Here is a 27,999-nt window from a genome sequence, read left to right on the forward strand (position 1 = left end):
ATGGGCCAATGAGTCATTTTCTTTATAGCACATCACCCACTGTTTGTAAATTAGCGATGATCCACATAAGCTTGGAACAAATAGCCATGTGTGTATGGGATTTAGAGGAGGCAAGTTCTCATCTTTTGTTGTAGAGATTATTGCTTCTGTCTTACTTCATTCACTTGATTTCACACTTCAAACTGACTTTTTTTCCTTTTTGTGATTTTTCTGCCTGTCTCATAAATCTGAAAAGCAAATATTAATGTTTTAAATTAAGCTTTAATATCATACGTGGCATAACTTTATATGAAAACTAAAATGATTATATATTAAAACCACTCTTGAAAAAAGATAGCCAGAAAAGCAGAAACAAATTTTTAAAGTTACAACATTTTTAGGATGAAAATGTTCTGAGTCAGTAGAATAGCAAGAGTAAATTTGCTTACTGACATACAGCATTAAGGAATATTACGGAATTATAAACTTTAACCTTAAAGATGACTCATTTCAACACCCTCATTTATAGGTAAAAAAGCCCCAAACCCCTGGAGTTAGGTACCTTACCTAAAAATTATAATACAAGTGACTAGAAGGAGTTATCAATTCATTTATTCAACAAATATTGTTGGAAAACCTACTATAGGTTAAATATGGTGGAAGATCCCAAAGTGAAGAAGATCCATACCATGTTTGCTACTCATAAGAAATTTATAACATATAGTAGAGTAGAAAAACATGCAGAAATAATAAACTATGAAGAGAATATGGCATATCATAAAGTTGATTCAAGTAAAAGGAGTTACAGGATTCAAGAGAAAGAGCAAAGATTAGAACTTGGGTCTGATTTCCCCCAGTTTATCTCTACCCCTCTAGAGTATAAGATCCATGAAAGCAGGGACCTTGCTTATTCACTGTCATCTTCCCATGCCTGATAAAGTGCTTGGCACACAAACAATTCCCAGTGAATGAACAAATGCCTGTTCTTTCCATACTATAACACTGTCTCTTAAAAGCGGTAAATGTGTATGTTTCTCCCAGCAAACATTTATCCTCCTCACAATTATCTGTTCTCTCATTGACTATCCTGTGTTTAATACATTCTGGTGATATGCAGGAGGCTAATATTCTTATTTTACTATAGCTAAGCATATTCAAGCAATAGGTAAAATATTCTCATATTTACCTTTCATCTTAAAGTGTATATTTTGAAAATTATGCATTCTAAAGTATAGAGTTAAAAACATGAATGGAACCAATCATATTGTTTCTAACATACTCCTAAGCACATATAATATGTATATTTTTAATATGTGACTTGGAAGATAGCATGTTTTTTAATAATAACACATGAAAAAGAAATTTGGCCAGTTTCCATTGTAAAATGTTTCGCCTCTAGGGTAGAAGTTACAATTTAAATCCTCAAGTACACATGCTCACAATGTAAAAACCTGGGAAGATTTCTAATAAGAAAAGTAGACATCATTATATGACCAACCAAGAAATCTCAGTGTGTTTAATTATGATCTGTCTGGTTTAAAGGAGAAAAAAAAGAGCAAAATGAAATGTCATCTATAGGTCATGTATTTATTTCAGTGCAAAAAGACTGGAACGAAGTGTGACAACCTGTTTAGGTCTTGTGTAAAACAAAATGAAGAACAGAAAGAATGATCACGTTAATTTCAGGCATAGCTACTTGTTCTAGCCAGAGTTATTTAAACACTAGTTTTCTTTGAGTCCTTCTTTACTATTGTGTAAATAGAATGTACTTTTAAAATTTGTTTAGAAATTGGTATAAAAACCATTCACTTTACATATTACATTCCTATTAGAGAGTATAAAAAGTATTTTTTTTTTTGCAAAAACATAAGTCAAACAGGGCAATACTAAAAGTCAGTATTTTTAATAGTTTTATGTAGTGTGTTATTTACATAAAAATGAAAATATGCAGATAGTGGCTTCTCTTTTTTTCTTGGCTAATATTCAATTACATATATTCGATATGTTAAAGTTTGAGAGTCATTAGCTAGAATTCATTGCTGAATTCTAAAAACATGGAATAACATATAGTATATTAGGCCAAATTGGAATTCTGGGCATATCTAATAAGTGGATTATTTATAGGAAATAAAATATTTTCCTGCCTTTACCCAGAAACGGAAGAGATCACTAATTTAAACTTAGGGAAGGGTTAATTTGGATAATTGTAGATATCTTTGGTGTTCATATGTTGTGGCTTACTTGAGTAACATGAATATGTGGGTTTAAGTATCAAAATTTAATATCCAAGTATCCATAGAAAATCTGACTGAAAACACAGATAAAGTATATATTTAAAATTAAGTAGATAATAGAGATATTATGACATTTTATTTTGAGAGATCCACACTTAAAAATTATTCAGAGATGCCATATTACAAAATGTACTGCAGCTGTTTTTGGCATTTTCACTGTTTAAGTAAACAGATTCAATTTTTAAAATATATAATTACACATGACCATCAGAAAAGTAGTCCTGTGTCCTGAATTAAATAAGAGATTTGAGCCACTGTGTACTTTAAGGTATCCTAATGATAATTACAAGAATTTTTTTGCAGTTAACATCAGATTTAATTAATTATAAATTAATTTCGCAACATGAAAAGAAGTTATAAAGTTGCCCAGTGCTGGTAAAAGTTATTTTTTAATTTAAAAAAGCCCCATTCAATGTAATGCCAAAATAAGTGTCCATAGTAATGGAGTTAAACATTGTAAATTTTGCTGATTTGTCTTATCACGCTGATTTGTGACTCAGTATTCAGCCTATGGAGCCTAGAGACTGTGCAATAAGTAAAAATTATGTAATAAAACATAAAAATTCTAACCTAATATTACAGAAATAACTTTGACATTTTATGATTTTGTAAAGAAAAGGCCACAAAATGCATCTTCTGGTTACAAAACAAAAGTCTAATAAAATGTACCTTTGCATGGCTGACTTTGAAGTCCTTCCTTATAAATGGGCAATGCATTTTGCATTTTTTGGTCATTTTCCCCAAGTGCCTTTCAGTTGTAACAATCTGAGTTTAGTTTCCTAAGAAAGAAGCCCCTCTTTCTCATTCGTCACATCTAAGAGGTTAGAGAGTATGTTTAAACAGATATATTTTCTTTTCGTCTAACCTTGTCTGGAAGATATAGGAAAACTAATTTGCCTTATTTACATATGGCACAATCTATCCAGTATTCAAGGGTTTGTCAGAAACAGGAACCTTGTGCATTTCCATGGTAACCGATGGCATGCTGACAGTATCTGGCTTGTTGCAGCTTCGTCTAGGCAGGCCGGCAATTAATCAGCCATCTACATGCACAAAATTCTTTGTGAGTGAATGGCAGCGCGCCTCTGTAGTGCTGTCTGTGCTTTTACAATTTTGTATTCCTGCCGGGCAAAGTACTTTTTTGTCTCTTCTATTCATTTTCCATAGCTCCCCAAAATGTGTTAGAAAAGAGTATGGGGGGTGGGGAGAAGGGTAACACAGGTACCTGTAATTTCAAAATGACCTTATTTCTTCTTAGCATCAAATATGCCAGGGTATGTTTCTTCCTTTTATTCTATGCCTCATAGTGGGTTTGCTTTTTATTTTTTTCTGGGTTTTCTTGGGTTTGTGCTAGATGGTCCCTTAATCTGTGTCTCAAGGTCCTTTATTGTTGGTGCAAGTAGGGCATACCTACCAAAGCAGGTCTGTGCATAAATTATGGCTGGGCCTGTGTCATGCAGTGTTGTCTTCTTAGAGTCCCTTTACACCACTTATCTGGTTCTATCTTCTCAGCTACGTGGAAGGTATATTATTGCCATTTTGCAGACTGAGATGCAGAGAAATTAAATGATTCAGCCAGCTTTAAGTTTGGGATGAAGCACTCCAGTGCTCTTACCACTGTGTCAACACAGAGAGGCTGGCAGTCCCCTTTTATGTATGATGATGTTTTAAGGTATAGAAATCACTGTTATTTCACATCAATATTCTGGCATTTTCTTTCTCAAAAAATAGTGCCATTGAATTTATTCAGTTGGGACCTTGTATTGTCTAGGATCTGGACAAGAGCATGAGTAAGTTAACAATTTGGGCCTTAGGTTGTTAGTAGAAAGCTGTGTCTGGATTTTGCCTACAATTCTGACTATGTCACATCTAGGGAAGCCATCTAGCTTCTTTCTCTGTGAAAAAAAAAAGGGAATTGATTCGATTATCTTCAACAGTTCACCAAGCACAGAAATTCTGTGGTTCTCCATGTTTTCTAGGACATTAGTTTGGGTAGTTAAAAGTAATTTGGATAGGTCAAAATTAAGATCCATAATTCGTTCAGTCTTTTGTCCTTGAAAGATGACAGAATAATTTGCATCGAATTGAATTGAATAAATTTCTTTTTCAAAAAGGAAAAAGAAAGATTTGACATCTGGGTGGCTGACAAATCTCAGAAGGTCAAAGCTCATTGAAATCAGATTTGGACATTTGCATTTCCACAGATACCACATAGCAAAAATCCAGTTGCTTTCAAACTTCAGTTTAAGCAAAATATCTTTTAAAAAACTAGGTATATTGGAACCTAGATATATTAAGTTTCTGAAAAGTTTTGTGCATTGGAAGAAAAGTTTTTTGTCGGGGGAGTTTTAATGTAAAAAGAAAAGTGGCAAGAAAGGTGTTTATTTATAGATGAAAATGCATGTAATTTTTGTTATTCTTTAGAAATCTAAAGTTATTGTATTTATTTATTTTTTAAAAGTCATCTTACTAGTGTAGGGATGTAAATATAAATATATATTTTATATGCAACCATCCTTTTCATAAGTTCACTTTTTATTACATTTATTTATTCAAGGAAGATTATTATGTAATTTTTCTTTAAATTTAGAAAGTAAAAGGAGACCTTAATTTCAAAGTAAATCCCATTTGGATAATATAAAAATAAGGATGCTCTTTCATACAAATATTTGCCACTCATTACTTCAACTCTGTTTCATTCATATTATGAATGATCAAGTCTCTAGTACAACTGTTTTCTCCAACTTTGTCTTTTTGTTAAAAAAAAAAAAAGTTGAAGTGTGAGCACAAAGCTTGTGTTTTTCTCTAACCAGCGATTGTCCATCCTTTTGTAAGTGCTGACAAGAGCTTCACTTATTCTTCCATACTCAGTTTCTCTTACTTGTTTATGTGCTAACTATAATCCACTACTTAATGTTCTATTTAACATTTTAACCTATTTTAAAATATCCTATTTCCTCCAGGATTCAATTAAATTTGTCAGTAGTATTCCAGAATAGAATGTTGTTTTTCTTACAATTAAGTCCTTTTTTCTTCCAATTTCTTTGGATATCTTGTGTTTATACAAGAAGTGTATCTATTTTTTTAATACAGTGTGGCTCATAGTATGTGGTCTCTGTAATTTTGTGCTGCTGATAGAAGAACCAGGCAAAAACTTTCTCTACCTGGAGAGTGTTACCATGAGCTTTTGCATATTCTCCTTCAATTTCTTCTTCTATTTCTCCTTCATATTGTCTTGGGCCTCTTTTATTTAAGAAGGTATTCTATCACACCATTCACTTAGTCATTCAACCAGTATTTATTGAACTCCATTATTTGGATGTTTGGGAATCCACCAACACCACTACTACTTAACAATAATCCAATATATGAAAAATCTTTTCTATAGAAGAAATTATTCTCATTCATATCTAACTTGAATATAACAGATATGAAAATACGTAGCAATTAATTACTTTCAGATGTAACTTTGTATCTACTAAAACTTTTTCATTTTCTAGACTATAAAGTAAGAATAATAGCACTTAATTTGTAGTTTTGTTAGGATTAAAGTGTGTAATGCACCTTGCAGATTTACATACTCAAAAATGATAGGCTACTGGCACTTAAGTAGTCAATTCATAGCAACAGGAAACAGAATGGTGGTTACTAGCATCTGGGAGGAGGGGGGAATGAGGAGTGACTGCTTAATGGTACAAGGTCTCCTTTGGGGGTGATTAAAAACTGTTAAAATGTACACTTTAAATGGATAGATTTATGGCATTTGAATTATATCTCGATAAAGCTATTTTAAAGCTAACATTAAAGCTTGGAAAATTTTACACAAAATTCCAGATTGACTTCTCTTGAAAAAGCCTATAATCTGACACCACCAGCCACATGGTCTCTCATGGGGTTCTTCTTGTTTAAGGAGTACAGAGTTTCAAATTTGCAAGATAAAATGTTCTAGAGATCTGTTTCACAGTAATGTAAATATACTTAGCACTACTGAACTGTACACTTAAAATGATTAAGATGATAAATTTTTTGTTAGGGATTTTTTACTACAGTGAAAATATACATAGAAGTAGTTGTTCAAAAAATGGTAGAAGTGTTTGTTGATAATGTTATGAATACTTTTCTAATTATTATCTGTGTCATTATTCTTACTAGCTTGGAAGTCCTTAGTTTATTGTGATGGTTAAGTAAAGGCAGAAAACTCTGTATTAGTAGAACCTGATAATGATATATATTAGATCAAACCATATACAAGCATGATATTCCATTACTTTTGACCTACAAAAATGGTAATTTTATATTACTTAACCTAGCACTTGTGAAAATATCTTAATGTAACTAGAGTATGGCTTATTGATTTGCTTTTGGATACCTTAAAATTTAATGTAAAGTACACTTTCTTTTAGCTGCTTTATCCCCACTTCAGGGCCAATATATAACATTTGATTTCTGGCTGTTCCATTTACTGGTTGTGTGATCTTCAGCCTCAGTTGTCTTATCTGTAAAAAGGAGAAGATAAATAGAATTGTGGTCAAGCTTTACTTGATTGATGGATTTACTGTTGTGAATAGTTTGCACAATCCTTTTTCCTATACATTGTTGATGTGGGGAGGGGAAAGGGGTAGAAAGAGGAGAACAGTAACCAAAAATATATCCATCTTTCCTCAGAATATTTCTCCCATTTTTATTCCATTCCCTCTACCTATCTCCCTGGCCCCAGAGTCACACTCATCCTACATGTGCGGCAGAATTCACCTTCCTCCTACCTGACTCTTTGTCATACTCCCAGGGTCCAAGCAGGAGGGTGATTAGAAGGGGCAGTGCAGGGGGTTCCCATGACCTCGGTACAGATTCCAGCCTCAACAGTCACTAATTTGTAATCTTGGCCAGCCATTGCCCTTGTGAAGAGTATGGAGAAGATCAGGGGTTTCTCAAACCTCCAGGTTTTAACCAGTCTAAGATGAAATGAGGAAAATAAAGACAATATTTATGTAGCTTTAACATTTTAATCTGTTTTATATTTGTAGCTAGATCTATATTGCTATAAAGTTATACCAGTCCTTCCTTAAGAAAGGCTGTTCTTTATACTAAGATTATGTTTTTCTACCTTTTTTTTGTTTTTGCTTTTCAAATGTCTTCTCATTTATGAAATCACGGGCAAATGGATGATGGGTTTTATGCAACAACATCACATGGCAAAATTAAAACCTGGCAACCCTCCATCTTCCCCCATAAAAGTTGTACTGCCTTGTAAAAGCTGAAAGTCAGAACCTTATGGATTCATAAATTCTAAGGATTTTCCTCAATTTAACATTCTATTATTTGAGAATTCATTTAAACTGTAGATCCTTAAGTGATTTCTCGGCCTGAGGATCAGAGAGGTTTCATGGTCTCAATGAAATCAGCATTTTTTACAGGTTTTTTTCCCCAAACATCTTTGCTTCACCAATATAGAAGCATAGTAAACTTTTAAGAAAGATAAATTTTCCTTTTGCAAGTTGGGTTCTTTGCATATCATAGTTAAGTATGAGAAATATGTTGGGTTAGAGAGGGGAATACATTACCTAGAGTAATATAAACAGAAAAAAATGCATAATCACTTATTGCATTTTTATTTTTCTCCACACAATGCATAATAGCTGGGGTTTTTTCTTTCATGACGGTTATCACTGGAATTATGCCTTTACTAGTTGTATGGTTATGGGGTTAGTGTCTCTCCTCCTTGCAAGATTTTAAGCTTCATGAGGACAATGATGATATTTCACTCACCATAGTGTGTCTGGCATCTAGTTCATGTTCTGCAAATATGAATACAGTGACATGTGCCATAAGAGAAGGGAGGACCTAAAGATCTACAGCAAAATCAAGGAAAACCTTTCAGAAGAAATGGCAGGTGAGGTATCCTTAAATGGTGGCCAGCATTTCAGCAAACAGATATGAAAGATTACATGGTATAAACTACACTTATAGAACAGAGTACATTTAATAGTGTTCTAATCCTTTAAAAGTTGGTAATCTCTGTATATAAGATAACTTCTAAATAATCTTTTTAAAATTATGATTAGTTAGATCTGCGTACCCTAAAGCCAGTCTAAAAAGAAGGGGGTTCTCTTCATATGAAACGTAGCACATAGGAAGGACTGGGAAGTATTTTCAACTAAAGGATGTAAAGAGTTAAACATTATTCCAAGAGTGTTAGCTTGAGAGACCAACAGCCACAACCTCATTGTGATTAGAAAAAAAAAAAAACAAAAAACCCAGGAAGAGAAGGGCTTGAGTGAGAGATAAGAAGCTCTGTTTCCATCTACCTGCAAGGTAATTGATGAGGTAGCAAACTTAGAGACAAATCGTAGGCATGAGGCAGTGTGCTGTGTGAAATAAGCTTTGATTTTAAGTGAATTTGTGTTTTACCCTCAGCTCTACCACTTACTAGCTGGTGACTTAGGGCAAATTAGTTAAACTTACTAAACCTCAGTTTTTTCTTTAGTAAAATGAAGAAAATAAAACTCCATAGAATTTTTGTGGTAGATAAAATTATGTAAAAGGGACTAGCACAAAATCTAAACCAGTAGATATTAATGAAACACTCATTTCCCTCCACCTTTTTATTGTCTACTTGGTCTACTTTAGGTCTTGAGCTTTGCTCCTTTGCAGGAAGATACTTATTCCTTGGCATCACATAGGCTCTTTGTATATCCCCAAATCTGGAAGCAAATATTTAAATACAAAAGCATCTGGGCATGGTGGCTCATGCCTGTAATCCCAGCACTTTGGAGGCCGAGGTGGGCGAATCACTTGAGGTCAGGAGTTTGAAACCAGCCTGGCCAACACGGTGAAACCCTCTCTCTACTAAAAATACAGAAGTTAGCTGGGTGTGGTAGTGCACACCTGTAATCCAAGCTACTCAGGAGGCTGAGGCAGGAGAATCACTTGAACCCAGGAGGCAGAGGTTGCAGTGAGCCAAAATGGCACCACTGAACTCCAGCATGGGTGATGGAGGGACATTCCATTTCAAAACCAAGGAAAGAGAAGGAAGGAAGGAAGGAAAGAAAGAAAGAGAAAGGAAAGAAGGGAGGGAGGGAAGAAAGGAAAGAAGGAAAGGAAAGGAAGGAAGGAAGGAAGGGAAAGAGGAAGGAAGACAGGCAAGCAACCCAATGAGTCTAATAGTAGCACTAAGTTAGTTTAATCTGCAGAATTGAACCTAGAAAATCAAAGCTTGGAATCTTCACTTTTGTAAAATGCCCAAAGCAATTTACCCATCTACTCTGCCTTCTCTGTTCTTTCTTCAACTTGAAAGAGAATTAAACGTCAGATTTACAGCTCAGATTCAGGTTACTTTATGTCAAATTCTCTATCTACGTAGACAAATTCAGCCAGGTCTTGCTATGCTGGAGCAGCTTTCACTGTGGGAGGAGGTGGTGGAAGTATTATGGAAGTTACTACTTATCACTGGGTGCTGAGAAGCAGCATGCTCCGCCATTCTCATTACCAAACTTGTAGTCAGAAGAACTCTGCCTGAGCCCCTGGTCTGCTGCTTCCTTGCTTAGTGATCCAGAACAGGACCTATTAACTTTCTCAGTCTCCAAAAGAAAAATCTTGCCCCTTGAATAGTGCTGACCTAAAGTTAATACTCAGTAAGCATTCATGAAATGAATAAATGTTACAGAAAGTGACATCAGTAATTATGTTCTACGTATTTGTGCTGTCGTCCCTTAAAACTGTGGATATAAGTCCACAGTCTATATCAAGTCAAACTTAGTTAAGTTAGCCTGCACCATTTAGCCAGGAATGTATGTGCTCCTGTTACAAAATGAAAGTAACTGGCCTAGAAGCCTGACACATCAGTTGTCATCTTTAATGTCCCTTCATCATACAATTCCTCGATGGCTTCATATATCACCTGTCAGGTAATCTTCCAGAGAAGCTTGACTTTAACCATTTGTTCTGTGGTTCAAGTGATGAATGAGATGGGTTAGATCATTTAATTCACTATATGGCACCCAAATGTTAAAGCTGGAGGAAAAGAATGTCTGACAAATTGTTTGTTGTCATTAAGGTTTATTTCTCATATGCCTTTGATGGTTCCCCTCACCTCATTATTGTCCAACACACAAAGCTAACTATTATAAGGAAGACAATACTTAATGGATGCTAGACAAATGATAGTTGGAGCTGTCTGGTGCACTACCTGATAAGTGAGAGCTAAATTATAATGTCATTAGATGGAATGCCTCAAGTTATTATAAAGTTGTGCTTCCCACAATGTCCTTGCTTTATCCTCAGCATGGTTCTTCCTGGCATCCGTTTTCACTCAGCAGCTGCCTTGTTTCCAGAACAGCTGAGACCGAGTGTTGAATCCTCTGTTATGCCAATTTTAAAATGTCCAACCAATACTGAGAATGTGTGTTTTGAGTATTAATGTCATCCAAACATAAACTTTAAGAAAATAAAAACGACATATTTTACAAATGCAGCCTTTAAAAATTTGTAACAATACAGTTAAAAACTTTGTATAATTCACAGGAAGACTGGGTATATAGAACCATAAATCCCCATTTACACTATCTTTTTCTCCAGGCACAAATTCCCTTCTTAGATTGTTCGTATGACAATTTCCTACCCAGTCCTTACAACATATTGACACTCAGTTAATAATTCAAGATGAATGAATGAATTTATGAATGAGAGGAAGTACATTCAAATATACAGATACTAAAAGCATGTTAGTGTAAAATATTTTGCGGACAAGTTGATTGTAAAGAAAATTAATTTCACTTCATCCACAAGGAAGTTAGGATTTCTTGGCATTTTGTGTTTGCAACAAACAAATAATCCTGATTATTATTTAAAATAGCTCCATGAGTTCACTTAGTGTTTGTCAGATTTTAACAATACCTGACAAACAGAGCTCTGTATTTATTCGTGCATATGAAGAGCAAGCTTCATTATTTTTTGGTATTAGGTAGATCAACCAGCAGACTCACTCATTCAGTGACCATAAATGTTGTATAATGCATTAATGACTCCTTAAGTAGAGCTCACAAAAGTACCACCCCAGTTTCTTGTACTAAGTAGCATATTTCAAATATAATTTTTCTGTTTCACTGGTTGTGAATACTACTAAATCAGATATATCTGGGTTTAAATCCTGGCTCTACCAATTACAAACTTCTTCAACTCTATGCCTCATTTCTTCATCTTTAAAATGAGAATAAAAATCATACCATCAAAGAGTTGTTATGAAAATTGTTTGCCTGTAAAGAATTTAGAGCAGTGTCTGGCACTTAGTAGGTATTCAATAAATGTTAGCTAATGTTGTAGAGTTGTAAATAATTTTAGTCTTGTTAATTTTCCAAAGTGATAAAGCAGGAAGGGTTAAAGGCCCCTAGTTCACCTTAGGTCCTGCCTGGCCCTTAAGCCAATGTAATCCAAAAGAAATGTGAGAGCCACATGTGTAACTTAAAATATTTTAGTAGTGGCATTAAAAAAGGTAAAAAGAAACAGATACCATTAATTTTGATAATATACTTTCTTTAACCCTGTATATCCAAGAATAGTAACATTTTAACATGTACCCAACATAAACAATTTAATAAGGTATTATACTTTTTTTTTTCTTACTAAGGCTTCAAAATATGGCATATATTCTATACTTTTAGCACATCTCAATTTGGGAGCTGAGTTTTGATTAGGAAGAGTTGGTTTCGATTACATAAAATTTACAGTTGAACAAATGAACACACATCCAAGTTATTTCAAAGATATTTAGAAGTTTTTACATTAAATCTAGTTCTTAAATTTAAATTTAAATTAATAAACTCAGTTTCTCTGTCCCACTAGTCGTATTTCAAGTTCACCATAGTTCCATATGGCTAGCACCACCCAAATTAGACAGCACAATCCTCAGCAATCTCAAGTTGAACATACCCAAGACCCTGCCACTCCACCTATCATAAAGCTGAACTACATTTTAAGCTCCGGTGTTAGGATACAGGAGGTTTGAGCAGGATGTTACGAAGAGAAGAGGCTGAGTCTACATGACATCGTAAATCTGCTATAAAAGTGAAGACACAATGGTGAAATTGGTGGTGAGGGATTAAGGAAGCCAAAACATATTCATAGAAATAGAAGCTTCAGCCATGCATGGCCCTATGGAATGCTTGGTCCCCTCTGTGCCTTTTTCTGCACTACTCACTCCTGATGGTTTCTTTTTTTCCTTTTTTTTTTTTTTTTTTTTGAGACGGAGTCTCGCTGTGACACCCAGGCTGGAGTGCAGTGGCTCGATCTCGGCTCACTGCAAGCTCCACCTCCCAGGTTCACGCCATTCTCCTGCCTCAGCCTCCCGAGTAGCTGGGACTACAGGTGCCCGCCACCTCACCCAACTAATTTTTTGTATTTTGAGTAAAGACAGGGTTTCACCATGTTAGCCAGGATGGTCTCAACACTCCTGATGGTTTCTAATGGGCCTATTGACCTGTAATTAGAATTCTCAGGAAGATATCACAAACCACATTAGCACTGTTTTTAATTTATGATCAATAAATACAAATCTTCAGGCTTGAGAGTGAGTGTTCCTTAGAACCAAAGTTGACTGAATCAGAGGGTTTGTTTGTTGGTCTACTTTTACTGAGTACATTCCACTAAAAAATTTAACTTTACAATATAAATCTTTAAAAAATAGGTTTAACCACCAAGCTTATTTATTCCTTCAACAACTATTTGGTAAGTACCTACTTTGTTGCAGGCTCTCCATTAACTAATCAAGACACAATGGTGAACTGTAATAGGCAAATCTTTTTCCTCATATAGCAGTGTCTGGTGGGGCTGTAGACTAGTAAATACACAACTGCATTTCAAGGTGACATGTCTTGGCAATATGGGGACTATTCAGGCACAGAGAAAAGATGCCTACGCCTGAGATGAGGCACTGAGGGAGGAAGTCAGAAAGACTTCCAGGAGGAAGTACTGTCTAAATGGATAGAGAAAGAGAAACAAAGACTTATTCAGGGAATAAACTTTCTTTTTACAAAAAAGGACTAGAATGTCAATGTCTGGGAGAATGGCAAAGAGAAGAATGTGCAAGAAAAATTCAATGTGGCTGAATGGCTGAACTATTAGGATCAGGGTCAGTCAGAGAGATTAGGCTGGGGAAGTGAGCAGAAGTGAAATTATCCAGAGCCTCATGAGCACATTGGAGAACCAGTGAACAGCTGAAAAAAGCATGATCAGATTTACACCTAAGAACCATCATAGTGGCTGTCATGTGGATGATGGAGTAAATAGGACAAGAGGCAGAGAAGCTTGGTAAAAGACAGTGACGCTGTAATCTAGGTAAGAGATGAGAGTGGTCTGAACCAAAACTTTAGCAGTAGGGATGGAAGGAAGCATATGACTGGAGGGAGATTTAGAACATAGCGTTTACAAGATTTGGCAATAGACTCGGGTAGGGGGGTGGGCAGCAGAGCCCAAGTTTCTGGCTTGGTAGTGTTCCCATTCATTTGATCAGGGAAGAGAGGAGATTGAATAGTTTGGGGAGAACAGTTCAGATTTAGGCATGTTGTATTGAGAGATGTTTCGGATAAACTAGTATCAATTTCCACTTGGCAGGTGTGTTAGACCGTTGTGCATTGCTATAAAGGAATACCTGATACTGGGTAATTTATGAAGGAAAGAGTTTTCATTGGTTCCTGGTTCTGCAGGCTATGTAAGCATGGCTCCAGCATCTGCTTCTGGTGAGGGTCTCAGGAAGTGTACAATCATGGTGAAAGGCAAAAGGAGAGCAGGAAATGTCACATGGCAAGAGAGTGAGGGGGGAAGTGCCACACTCTTTGAACAACCAGATTTTGCATGAACTCAGAGTGACAACTCATTCATTACCAAGGGGATGACACAAAGCCATTCATTAGGATGTGTTCCTATGATTCAATACCTCCACTGGGCCCCACCTCCAATATTAGAGGTCACATTTCAACATGAGATTTGGAGGGGGCAGACACATTCAAACCATGCAGCAGGTATATATCTACAAGTCTGAAGCTCAGGTAAAAAAAAAAATCAGACTCAGATGGAATTCTTGGAATTGTCAGCCTGTAGAAAGTAACTGAAACAGTGATAATGTGTGAGGACACCAGGGGGAGAGTATAAAGAGAAAGAGATCAAAGGCCAGGAGAAACCCCTGGGGAATGCCAACCTATATGGGACAGACAAAGGAAGAAAAGTCTGCAAAGGAGATGGGTAGCCAAGGAGAGAAGTGGACAATCAGAAACAGAGTGTCAAGAAAGTCAAAGGACAAAAGTATTCCAAGCAGGAAGGAGTGATTAATAGCTTCAGAAACAAGATTGTTAGTGACCTTGGTAAGGCTGATTTCAGTGATTGGGTCAAAAACCAGAATGTAGTGGGTTGATGAGAAAGTAGGAGATGAAAAAAATTGAATTTCTTGTCTTCTTGTCTAAATTTCTCATGTAAATTTTCAATCAAAAATCAGTGTAGGAAGGGAGAATATTGTTTTTTATGCAGATGTTGACAGCAACTCTTAGTATCACACTTCTGACCTCAGCCAAGTGTTCTTGGCCCTCCATGTCCATTGGTTCTGCATTCATTAATTCAACCAGCCAGACTGAAAATATCTTAAATTATATATATAATAGAACAATAAAAAATACAAAATTTAAAAAATACAGTAGAACAACCATTTACGTAGCATATACATTGTATTAGGTATTATAAATAATTTAGAGATGATTTAAAGTATACAGCAGGATATGCATAGACTCTATGCAAATACTATGCCATTGTATACAACGGACATGATTACCCATGGATTTTGGTATCTGATGGGGGTCCTGAAACAAACCCCCCATAAATACCAAGGGACAACTGCATTCCAGTTTAGAGCAGTCATTAAAGTCTAATGTAGGATACCAAGGCTTTGTTTAGTCATTCTGTTATCAGTGCTGGAAGTGAAGAGATGAGAAGACTGGTAGTAAATCTAGATTCTTGGAAAGCCCAAAATAGGAATGGAGAGTAAAATTCTTCAGTATTCCTGTATTTCCCTACTGGAGTAGAACAAAAAACCAAACGCCGCATGTTCTCACTCATAGATGGGATTTGAACAGAGAACACTTGGACACAGGAAGGGGAACATCACACACTGGTGCCTGTCATGGGGTGGGGGGAGGGGGGAGGGATAGCATTAAGAGATATACCTAATGTAAATGATGAGTTAATGGGTGCAGCACACCAACATGGCACATGTATACATATGTAACAAACCTGCACTTTGTACACATGTACCCTAGAACTTATTTTTTATATATGTATATATAAAAATAAATTCTCTCATAGGGAAATCCCTAGTACTTTCCCCCTTTCTTTCTTTCTTTCTTTTTTCTTTTTTTTTTTTTTAGGTGAAGTTCCTGTTCTTGTTGCCCAGGCTGGAGTACAATGGCGTGACCTCGGCTCACCGCAACCTCCAACTCCCGGGTTCAAGTGATTCTCCTGCCTCAACCTCCCGAGTAGCTGGGATTACATGCATGTGCCACCATGCCCGGCTAATTTTGTATTTTTAGTAGAGATGGGGTTTCTCCATGTTGGTCAGGCTGGTCTCGAACTCCCGACCTCAAGTGATCCCCCTGTCTCGGCCACCCAAAATGCTGGTCCCCCTTTCTTAGGATTCCGCCTTTTTGCCGTAGGCGTTCTCCTTTTATTTTTCCTTTGTAAAATTCCTTGTTAAAATATAAGGTCTTTGGAAGTTCTTAGCATCTCAATTAAAAGTTAAGTTTCATTAGAGCAAATAAGAGATGGAATAGAGACCAGAGGAGGAAAGGGCAAGGGCAGAGGCAAATGGCTACAAAATACGACTTTCTTTTACTGAACAATTTTAGTGTCAGTTGCCTACCAGCCTCACTGATACACCAGTTATACCTATTGAAAGTCACATGAGAGCCACTTTTGTCACATACTCAGTTACCCCAATTGCCATCCTCTGGTAAACATAAGGAAAAAGGATCAATCTGATGAATGGACACATTGCAAGGGGGCATTTCTAAGAAGTACTGTTTTAAGAAGGGCAGTTGTAGAAAAAACTTGGGGGTTCACTTCTAATTTTTTTGAAACTAGAATTCAGCTAGAAGATTGCATAATGCATGGATATATGAATAGGTGGATGGATGGATGGATGTTGAATAGGTGGGTGAGAAGAAGAAATAATGGAAAGAAGGAAGAAAAAAAGGAAGGAAAGGAAGAAGGGAGGAAGGAAGGAAGGAAGGTAGGTGAGCAGGGCTCAGAAGAGGCCCTGTGGCCGTTATTATTGTCGTTGATGATGTTTTAACGTTTGAACTTATTACATGTTATTCACATTTATGGTGGGAAAAGCACAGGTCTAGGAATCAGATGACTATTACCTCCTGTCTTGTGTTCTTAGAAAATTCACTTCCATTTTCTGAGCCTCATTATTTCATCTGTCAAGTGGCATTATGCTATGCACATTACAGGGATATTATAAGCATAATACATCTTTTATGTAAGGATCATATATGTAAATTATGATGCACTATACATACATTAGTTATTGTTCTGCATCTGAGGACAATTTATCTTCCTAGAAGGAGGATTGCTCGGATATAACCTATTGTGAACAAGTGTGAGAACTTTTAATACACTAATAGCCTTAGACCTCAAATCCTGGACAGCTTATTAGTGCTTATTAGTGCCCATGTAGTAAGTCCTCACTAACTCCTTTGAGCATTTTGTATGCTATAATACTCTTTTTTTGTACTGTTTTTAGTTATTTCTTCACTTTCCTCAAAAATGCCCACTTTTTCTCTTGCAAGTGCTTTCTCCATGCTTAGCTCTTCCATTTTATAAAGTAAATAATCTTATCCACTCCCACCCACTGACATACTTTTAAATCACTGCTAGTACTTGAGCATAGTTTTGTGCTTCTACTTACTCTCGGGAACACTATGACAAACCTACTCTGAGTGCTAATTAGGACCAACTTGAGCATACGTAAGCAGCCCTTTAACTGTTTTCTTTGAAACGGTTCCAGTTAGTCCTTTTAAATGAACTTCAGAAAAGAACTCAAATTAATTTGCTTCTCAATATCCTATGGTTCAGACATTGGATTTTTTTCTCCCTAGCGACTTCTGGTTAGCAATCAAAGAGCTGCTTTTCTACATTAAGATTTTAACTCAACTTCCTGGGAGTGGAAAGACTCAATTATTTCTTCAAAATCTATAACTGTTTTTTGTCTTTTACATTTTTAGCTTTCCCGAAATGCTTTCCCTGCTCATTGAAGCTACCTCCTGTTCCGTTTAAGTTCTCCCTTGATGACGACATTTCTTATGAGAAGCCTTACCAAAAAGTCTAAGACAGGCGGACTTCTGTGGGGATTAATTTGTTCATAACAATTATGATTGGCTACATAATTTGTGGGTTACTGGGCAAAATGCAAATGCAGGTATCTTTGTTTATTAAAAAATTACTAAGAGTTTCAAGATGGCAACAACAAAACAGCAAATATGGGACCTATGCAGCTGCACAGATTACACACCCATGAAGTTAGCCCTACGTATCATTGTGTGTTGATACAAACTTTGCCATCATGGACTTCACATTTTTAAATACATATATGCCTTTGATAATTTCTGCAATAGGCTCCTACTAGATATGCAAACTCAATCTACTTGGCAACTTTTCATCACTCAGTTATTTCACTGTTATGCGAATTTTCTGACACCTTTATTTTTGTCAATGCTTACCTTAGCTTTGGGTTATGAGATTAATTGGAATGTTTAAGAGAAGTTGAATTCTTATACAGTCATATTTTAGTAATTGCATTAAACCATAAAATGTATTTATTATAGTTTCATTGGTTAACACAAGTACATCTATAATGTTGAGAGGTTTTACAGTCCAAAAACACTAGAGCAGCATAAGCATGAGAGAGTATGCAGTCTGGTAAAACCCCAGAAGCATTTCTTGCATGTTTGAGGGCAACCTACAGTATCTCAGTTGATTGTAAAGTATATTTAATGCTAAATTTGATGGTATCATTACAGTGCCTTAGATTCTTACATGCATATTTTCAGACCTTCTCCTCCTCCACCTGGGCTTGCCACCACTTAGCCCAGCAGGATGCTGAGTTTCTAGGCTTATGTGCTAAGCTAGGGGACAGCAAGGGATGTTGATTTTGCTGTATGTGGCCAATTATCTTGACCTTTATGATGGATGAAGCCAAGTCTCCCTCCCGTTTATATCTCTTTCTCGGGATTGTAGCCCATTGCGGTCATGTCAGTTTGTGGTCTTGTCTTTCACTCCCCAGCAATGCACATCTTGAGATACTGTGATTAGCATCCCTAATTCATAAAAATTGACTTACCTTGTTATAACTAGAGAGCTGCCGCCTAAAATACTTCCACCTACTGTTCGAAAGGGTATTATTTTAATGCCCTGGGGATAGGAAAAGTTTTCAACCCACCAGTGCAGGGATTAGTTTTATTTTAAAGTATTTGAAGTGTGTTAGATAAGTTAGCTAAGAATGATCCAAGTTCAGTTGCTTCCCAAGAGCCTTTAAAGATGTGCTCCAAGTCCTTATCTGATAACAATCTGTAAAAATGCTTACATTTTGTATGTGTTTGAGCATCAAGATCTACCTCTTTCATATGTAAGGGAAAATTAAGACACTTTCTGCGTCAACCAAATACAGGGGATGATTTCATTTGGATAAATAGCTTTCTCTTCAAATAGGATTTCTGACTAAATTATCTGGATTTAATCATATGTCTATTGAATAGCATGTGCACCTTTCCTTGTTTTTCATATCCCTGTACACTAAGCAAATAAAGGCATTTCTCTTTTTATTAATTGAACGTTCACAATTGCCTGTAAAACTTTTAGAGAAATACCTAATTTTGAGATTCACTTAAAGTTAGGTTAAAGTTTTATCTCTAAAAGACTAAAAGGGCATCATCTCCTCCAATGACTTCTATTCATCAACTTCTTGGCGGGTTTAACCAGCCAGACTGGTTTATATGTTTAGACACAGTCCGAGTCACACAGTTAGTATAAATAGGGTTTTTTCACATTAAATTACTGTTTTACTTTTGATTAAAGTAACTGGACTTTTCAGTATTAATTTGGAAATGGTGTATTTTCTGTTTTATGAAAATGTGCAATGATGTCACATGTTCAGGTTATGTGACAAAACATGTGTTCTCATTTTCCTTCATGCTTCTTCACCTGGACAGGAAAGGGTAACGTGATGTCCCCTTGATAGCAACAGCATTGGTTAGAACTGGTATCAGAGAGCTTCCATCTTCTTTTATGACTGTGACTGCCCTTGCTAAGTCCCATTTTTCAAAGGGGGAAACTTAGACATAGAAAAAACAAAACTATATTGTTAAGTCAAACAGCCTAGTCAAATAGCTGTTCCACTTCTATGAGTTTCTAAAATGTTCTCCTATTCATTCTATTGGTGGTTGCTCACAATTGTACCTACATCTCTTCACCATTTCATGTGAAATAGAGCTCTTAGGTGATACAGTTGAGAAGTCAGGTGTCATGAGTTTAGCATGTCAAGGAGTAGTTACTAGTCTTCCTTTACAGACAAGTGATTGGTACATGTTGGTTAGAGAAAAGTGATTTTTCTAGAGTTTATCACTCCAGAAAAAGCCAGGCACTTAGAGAAGCAGTTATTGTGATTGCATTACTCAAGGTTTGCTTGAGGAAGAGAGCTCTTAATTAGACTCTGAACAGTTAACAGAGAATGCAACAGTGAAGCCAAAGGCATTGGTAGGTCAGCCTCAGAACTACTGATTTTTTAGACCAGATAAGTCTTTGTTGTGAGGGGCTGGTCTGTGTATCGTGGAATGTTCAACACCATCTCTGGCTTTACCCAATAGATTCCGGTACTCTACCTGATCCTGGTTGTAACAACTAAAAATCTCCAGACATTACCAGGTATGAAAAATCACCCTCACTTGAGAACCACTGGTATAGGTCTTTTTAGTATTAAAAGCACTTTGACGTTTTCAACAACTGTGTTAGGGATTTTTTAAATCTCTGTTTTACAAAACAGAAGCTTAAGCTCAGAAAAGTAAAATGACTTGCCTAAGGTCTCACAAGTAGTGATTGGAACCAGAATTCAAACTTATGCAGGTCTTCTAAAGCCATATCAGGTGCTCTTTTCATTACACCACTAAAGAAACAGATACAATATCACTGACCCAAACTACTTCTTCTCTCCCTGTTTCTTCTGCTGTTATTTGGGTTTCCTGGGCTTTATATACATACTACTGAGCCAAAATAATTCTCATCATCCCAAAGGTCACTTAACGTTCAGCATTTTAGTAAGACATCAATTTCTCATTTGATCTTTCATCCCAAAAGCTCCACCATTTGATACGTTGACAGAATAAATCCAGTACATTGACAGCTTCAGAATTAAAAAAAAAAATCTTAGATTTTATTAAGGTGAAGAAATCACTGTAGTAAGGTTATAGATCTAAATTTCTTTTTAACTTAAACTTTCTTAACACATCAAATCCACATTAACAATTGACACACAAAAGTTGATTGAGTAAAAAATAGGTTCACCTTTTTTATGTCAAAGTTTTGGGGCAGTCAAGAAAAGAAACTTTTGAAAAGTATCCTCAAATGCAAATAAATAAATAAATGCCTTTAAGAACTAAATTCAAACAGATCTGTGTTGGCTCATTTACATATATACCATGATCACTAAATACCAAGGCCTGTGTTATAGTACCAAAAGTAAAATGAAGCGTCCCTGTTTAGTTTGCCATGAGATAAAATATGGTTTGGTCTAAATAAGTAAGTTGGCAGTGGTTTCTAAGGATTATTTAGGCTCCAAAGGTCATTTGATTCCAACGATAGAACCTATATTTAGGCCCGCAGTAGCAGCAAACCAATCTCATTGTGACTTAGAGTTATAATCTACTCAGCAAATATTTCAGTAAAGACACTGAGGAGACTTTTCTAATTTCCATTTGAGATCTTTCTGTTTTAAAAAGAACAGTATGATCCTGCAAATCATACTAAAGACACAGAAAAGTCTCTGCTTTTAGATGCTAGTGGCATTTTACAAGGCTTAAAGAGTAATAGAAGTTTGGCAGTTCCTTAAAAAGCTAAACATAGAATTACCATATAACCCAGCAATTCCACTCCTAGGTACTTACCCGAAATAACTGAAAACAGGGACTTATACGGGTACTTGTATGCAGAAGTTGATAGCAGCAATATTCACAATAGTCAAAAGGTGTACAATCCAAGTATCCATCAAGAGATGAATGAATAAATAAAATGTGGTATATACATGTAATGGAATATTATTCAGCCATAAACAGGAATAACGTTTTGATACATGCTGGAACATGAATGAATCTTTAAAATGTTATGCTAAATTAAATAAACACAAAAGGACAAATATTATATGAGTACAGGGATGTGAAATATTGAAAATAGGCAAATTCATCGAGGTGGAAGGTAAATTAGAAGTTACCAGGGACTAGGGAGAGGAGAAAATGAAAACTCATTGTTTAATGGGTACAGAGTTACTGTTCTGAGTGATGAAAAAGTTTTGAAAATAGATAATGGTGATGGTTACACAATACATCATGAATGTAATTAATGCCACTGAGCTGTACACTTAAAAATGGTGACTATAATAAGTTAGTGAGGTGATAAATATATTAATTAGCTTGATTGAATATTTCTACAATGTATATATAAATCAAAACATCACACTGTACCCATAAATATACACAATTATTATTTGTAAATTAAAAATAAATTAAAAATGGTGAATATGGCAAATTTTATATTATGTATATTTACCAGAAAAAAATAACTAGGGGAAATATTTTAATTTTATGATGGGTAAATGGCTAAAATTCCTAATATATAAACCAATTTCAAAGTCATAAGGAAAAGCTCAATATCCCAATAAATTTCAGACAAAGAAAACAAATAGGCAATTTACAGACAAAGTATAGTTAAAAAATACATGAAAATATGATAATATATATGATTATCCTTGCCCATAATAAAGTAAATATAAATAAAAACAATATATTACCTCTTTTTCCCTAAGCAAAAATGTGGGTAACAGGTACTGTGGGGAAGCCCAGGAGTTGTCCATCTTTTTATAAAATAGTGTGCAAATGTTGATAATATCTATGCAATTTCTTATTAATATTTTTATCCTTTCACCCTGTAATCCAACTGTTAGGAATAAACCAGTGGTCATCACATACATGTGTAAAAAGGCTATGTTCCAGGATGTTCATCACAAAACATAGATGTCACACAATAGGAAAGAAGTTATGTTAGTCATGGGGCATCTATAATGTAGAATGAGTACGGTGTCACCATTACAAATTATATTAAGGAGAATGTTAAATGGCAAAATATTTAGTGGTCTTTACCTATATTTTTTACCTTGACACATTTAGAAAATATTTATGCCATTAAATATTCTTTCAACATCATTTTTAATGGAACATGGTTTTCATCATTTGGGTGTATTATATCATACTAAACTAGTCAACTTATTATCAGACATTGTGGTTGTTTTCAGCTCCTGCTATTATGAAAAGGTTGTCATAAATATCCCCATACCTCTGTACATTCTTAGGATAAGGACTTTCCTTAAGATAAATTCCTAAGAGTAAAATTACTATGTTAAAAGTATGAAATGTTAAGGCTTCTAATTCATATTGCAAAATTGCTCTCAAGAAAGATACTATCAACTTATGTTCTCACCAGAAGTACAGAGGAATACTCATTTCCCAGTTCCCTCATCATCACTACTATCATTTTTAAATCGATATTGATGGATGAAAATCGTATCTTGTTATTGTTTGAATATGTATTCTGCTGATTACTACTGAAGACAAACTCCTTTCATGTAATTATTGATCACTTATAATTATTCTTTAGAAATTTCCTATTCTTGCCCTTGGTTCATTTTTCCTTTTGCCATGTTAATTTTTTTCTTATTGATTTATAAGAGCTCTTCTTATATTAAAAATATTACATGAATGCTCATTTGTTATACTTTGTATCTTCTACAAAATCTAGTAAAGAGATAGGCAAGTGGTGATATTTCTTTACAGGAGAGCTTTATACATTACCTGTGATTAAATCAATAATATGTATTTCTTCATTTAAAATATTGTGCAAATTACATTATTTCTCTTTACTGAATTTTGCTTGAAGCACTGAATGTGACAATTTTAGTATTTCAGAGGATAAAAACAGCCCATGTCTGACTGAAGAAATTCAAAGAAATTAGTGCTCCTTAACAACAAAAAAAGTGGGGTTATAGAGAGTGAAAATAAACTTTAAAAATTCTAAAAGGCAGAATCACTAAGAGAACTTTGATTTAACAGAAAAAAGTGTGATTTAGAAAAGAGCACTTTTGAAGGTATGAATGGTCTAAGCACTGAGTTGTGTTCCTCTAGGTAATTAAAGAGGATTATAAATTTTTTTTAACAAGAGCAACTCAAGGGGAGCAGAGATTGGGTCTTTTAATTTTGTGCCACCGGTGCTAAATACAACTAAGCTCAGTGGGAAAGGAAGAAGACAGTGGGCCTCTGGCCCAGGCATCATACTCACCCAGGGCCTCCAATGGGCCAACACATTGAATCACAGAGATATTCCGAGAGGTCAGAGAGAAGACATAGTGTTCCAGTACCATGCCATGCTACCTGGACGGCCCTGCAAATTGAAAATTGTATAACTATATTTTTATATAGATAGTCATATAGCATTATATTGTGGGTATATATTTATAGCACTAGTGTGTTAGGTGTAATCATTTTAAATATAAAACAATTTTGATAACTCTCTTTTAAAGCTTTTTTAACAAATGAGGAGCCTCAAAATATGAAAGCGACTGGGCTTTGTCTGACCTTTGAGAGGCATTTATCATGGATTAACAAATTGGAAATGCTGAAAATCCCCTTATAGGGTTTGTTGATTTGCAGATTATTTACTGGGAAATGTAATTGAGCAATGCTGCGACTGGCCTGCTACTTGTGATTATGGGGGCCTCCCAGGGGATCATATTAATACCAAAATTACTTAGCTTTTTATTAATCAATTATGGGCTTCTTTATTTAGGGGATGCAGAGAGTTTGCAGCAGTAGAAAATCCACTAGGGTTTTAAAATTTCTTATTAAATCTTCTAAGGGATTTTTCCAAAATGTAGTTAATAACAGAGTTCTATGACATGATAAGCTAAGGAAAAGCAAAGTATACCATTTGTAATTCTAAAAGAAAATTATGGGTAACTTAACTCCAAAAGCAATGATAATTAGAATAGCAAGAGGTGTGAGATAGAGTGAATTAAATACTTTGGGCATTTTGTGGTTATTTTGGAGAAATCGTTACCTTCTTTAATCATTTAGATTGTGTGTGCTGGGAATGCACTGGTGATTAGGGGTTTGATAGAGGTCTAATTCGACTCTGGATGTCAACAGGATCACAACACTAGATAGTAAATATTGCCTGTTAACTGATGATACCTGTGTAACTTAAAATGTCTTACAAGTTGCGTCTTGGACCTCATCAATATATTTATGCTAATAAACTCATTTGTGGGAGGGAACATCATGAATTTCTCTTTGGTAGTTTATTTAATTTTCTCTCTTTGATTTTTTTTTCAGCTCTCTAATTCTTTCCAGTCCAGATGGACTAAGATATAAACATTGAAACTGGCGTTTCTGTTTGCCTGTTTGCATGCTTTAGAAAGGCTAGCCTTTTTGGTTGATTAATATCAATGTAACAGGAAAATAGTTGGTTGGTCCAGTGGTTAATACAACTTTCCTGAGTTAACGGTATCACTGCACACTGATTAGACCATCCAAGATACATAGAGGGAAGAACCTGGTACTGGGGAAAAGGGAGGGAGTCATTCGTGTCATCAATATGCTTTGAGCCTAGTATGTGCCTGATGTATTAGGGCACCAGATGCCCTGGGTGTGTCATCTTACCTGTTACATGGCCAGTCCAAACAGTTGCTAAACTCAACTCTCGGTGTTCACTGGGAAGCTGCAAGTTCAAAGTTGGGTTTGAAATTATTTAAATTAAGGGAAAATCATGTGAATGACCAAAAAAAATTCTCATATGAATTTCCAAAACCTAAAATTATATTAAAATATGTTAAGTCTTATGAATGATGTAACTACCTTAAAGTAAGTTAGCATTTTAAAAGCTGTTTGCTATTTATAGCACAGATACTATCATTTGCAGTAGAAAAGTGGCTTGTTCTTTAGTGCCTAGAAAATCGACCAAAGCATTAGAGAAATGCAAATCAAAACCATAATAAGACACCATCTCCTGCCAGTTAGAATGGTGATTATTAAAAAGTCAGGAAACAACTGATGCTGGAGAGGATGTAGAGAAATACGAATGCTTTTACACTGTTGGTGGGAGTGTAAATTAGTTCAACCGTTGTGGAAGACAGTGTGGCTATTCCTCAGGGATCTAGAACTAGAAATACCATTTGACCTGGCAATCCCATTACTGGGTATATACCCAAAGGATTATAAATCATTTTACTATAAACATACATGCACACGTAAGCTTATTGAAGCACTATTTGCAATAGCAAAGACTTGGGACCAACCCAAGTGCCCGTCAATGACAGACTGGATAAAGAAAATGTGGCACATATACACCATGGAATACTATTCAGCCATAAAAAAGAATGAGTTCGTGTCCTTTGCAGGGACATGGATGAAGCTGGGAGCCATCATTCTCAGCAAACTAACACAGGAACAGAAAACCAAATACCACATGTTCTCACTCATAAGTGGGAGTTGAACAATGAGAACACATGGACACAGGGAGGGGAACATCACACACCAGGGCCTGTCGGGGGATGGGGGTCAAGGGGAGGGAGAGCATTAGGACAAATACCTAATGCACGTGGGGCTTAAAACCTAGATGACAGGTTGATAGGTGCAGCAAACCACCCTGGCACACGTATACCTATGTTAGAAACCTGCACGTTCTGCACATGTATCCCAGAACGTAAAGTAAAAAAAGAAAAAAAGAAAAGACAGAGAGAGAGAGAGAAAGAAAAAGAAAGAAGAAAGAAAGAAAAAAGGAAGAAAGAAAGAGAAAGAGAAAGAAAGAAAGAAAAAGAAAGAAAGAAAGGAAAGAAAGAAAGAAAGAAAGAAAGAAAGAAAGAAAGAAAGAAAGAAAGAAAGAAAGAAAGAAAGAAAGAGATAGGAAAGGAAGGAAAGAAGGAAGGTAGGAAGTCAATCGACCAAAGTGGAAAGATGTGATTACACATGTAGTGGGGAAAACATAAACCATGGATTTCTTAGAAATTTTAGGAAATAGAGACTAGAAGTGGAGTGACTGCACATATTTATCTATTCTAGTGGTCAAAAACTAAATGCACTTAAGGCAACAATATCAATGTATACATACACGTAAAACAGACAGGAATTGACCCATGACTTGGAAGACTCAGCCTCACCCACCTCACCCTAATCCAGGTCCTGAATAACAGGTTCCCAGTCCCATAACCTCTGACAACCATTTCCGTCCCCCATCTCTGACAAATGAGGCTTGGGTTGGGTTGGAGGGTAGTCCCAGAATCCTGAGCTGGACTGGGGACTTACTGCCTACAGCCGTACTATGTTGCCCACCAGGGGAAATACTAGAAACGGGGTCCTCAGAAAATGATAGGTGAGAACCAGAGTAAACAGCCCAGATGGGGTCATTTTCCAAATGGAGCTAAAGGTAGAAAGGCAGCCAAGGTATAAAGTTAAAGAGACAAAGGCTGCTGCTGAATGAGGAGGAGGGGAGATTAGCCTGCAATATTCCTGAGTCATCTGTGGACATCTGCAGTCTTTTCTTATCCATTTTCCACGGCTGCTGTGAGAGCTCCATCAGCTTTGAAGTTATGGCCAGAGACAAACCATTTATGTGTTTTTGGCACTTCTAATCATCTGACAAGACACACAGCCAAACCCGTGTACTTTTCCCCATTGTAGTCAGCCTTATGCTACCTTTAATTCAGTCTTGAGGCAAGTGAGTTCAAGATACTTCCATAAGTGGATGACCCAGAGTGTGAGATCCCCAGTGAGGAGGACACTTGCTACTGGGTTGAAAATCACCCCTTAGAAGAGCCTCCATGTCCGCCCCCCAAAAAGGCTGAGTGACCTACCCAGAGAAACTGGTAGAGCTGTGAGTCAAGGCCATGATGGCTATTAAGGGACAGTTTGAAAGCTAGACAAACAGCTTTCGAATAGCAAACAGCTTTCAAAATGCTGACTTAAGAAAATTACATCCTTCGTAAGACTTAAGGTTCAACAAGATTAGCAGTCCCCTGAACAACAAAAAAACAATTTCTTCTATGCATTTTCAAAACCCACCTGATTCCAAAGCTGAGGCTTTTTCTATTGAGCATGAAGATCAGGTAAAAACAGGATCAGGGAAGTCCCATTCAGAAGAGTTTCTGCACACATGTCATTAGCTCCACCACCACAATCACCACCAACTTCGCAGGGGCACATTTCCCTAGGATACTTTGTCCAATGAGCAAATCAATCTGAAAACAAAAGCCCCTTGTGGAAATGTTCATTACTAAGAGGTTTTCTGCTCTTTACGATGAAAACTGAGAAAGTTGACGCTCCAGTTTCCAAATCAGCCTTGATCAATTTCTGCATAATAGTCTGGGTAGAAGGTACAA

At 36.0% G+C, this 27,999-nt stretch overlaps 2 long non-coding RNA genes across 4 annotated transcripts in view; one reads left to right on the top strand and one right to left on the bottom strand.

Annotated features, from left to right (window-relative positions):
• Positions 1-27,999, top strand: part of SOX2-OT (SOX2 overlapping transcript) — a 685,549-nt gene that overhangs the window by 358,012 nt on the left and 299,538 nt on the right. The gene's annotated exons all lie outside the window — the stretch shown is intronic.
• LOC102724604 (uncharacterized) lies at positions 6,472-27,795 on the bottom strand. The gene is made up of 5 exons (NR_125407.1): positions 27,683-27,795; positions 25,286-25,343; positions 23,907-24,008; positions 7,037-7,225; positions 6,472-6,769 (listed from the first exon to the last, which is right to left on the bottom strand). It is a non-coding gene; the product is annotated as an uncharacterized LOC102724604 (long non-coding RNA).

Source organism: Homo sapiens, chromosome 3 (genome assembly GCF_000001405.40).
Source record: "Homo sapiens chromosome 3, GRCh38.p14 Primary Assembly".
Lineage (NCBI taxonomy): Eukaryota > Metazoa > Chordata > Mammalia > Primates > Hominidae > Homo > Homo sapiens.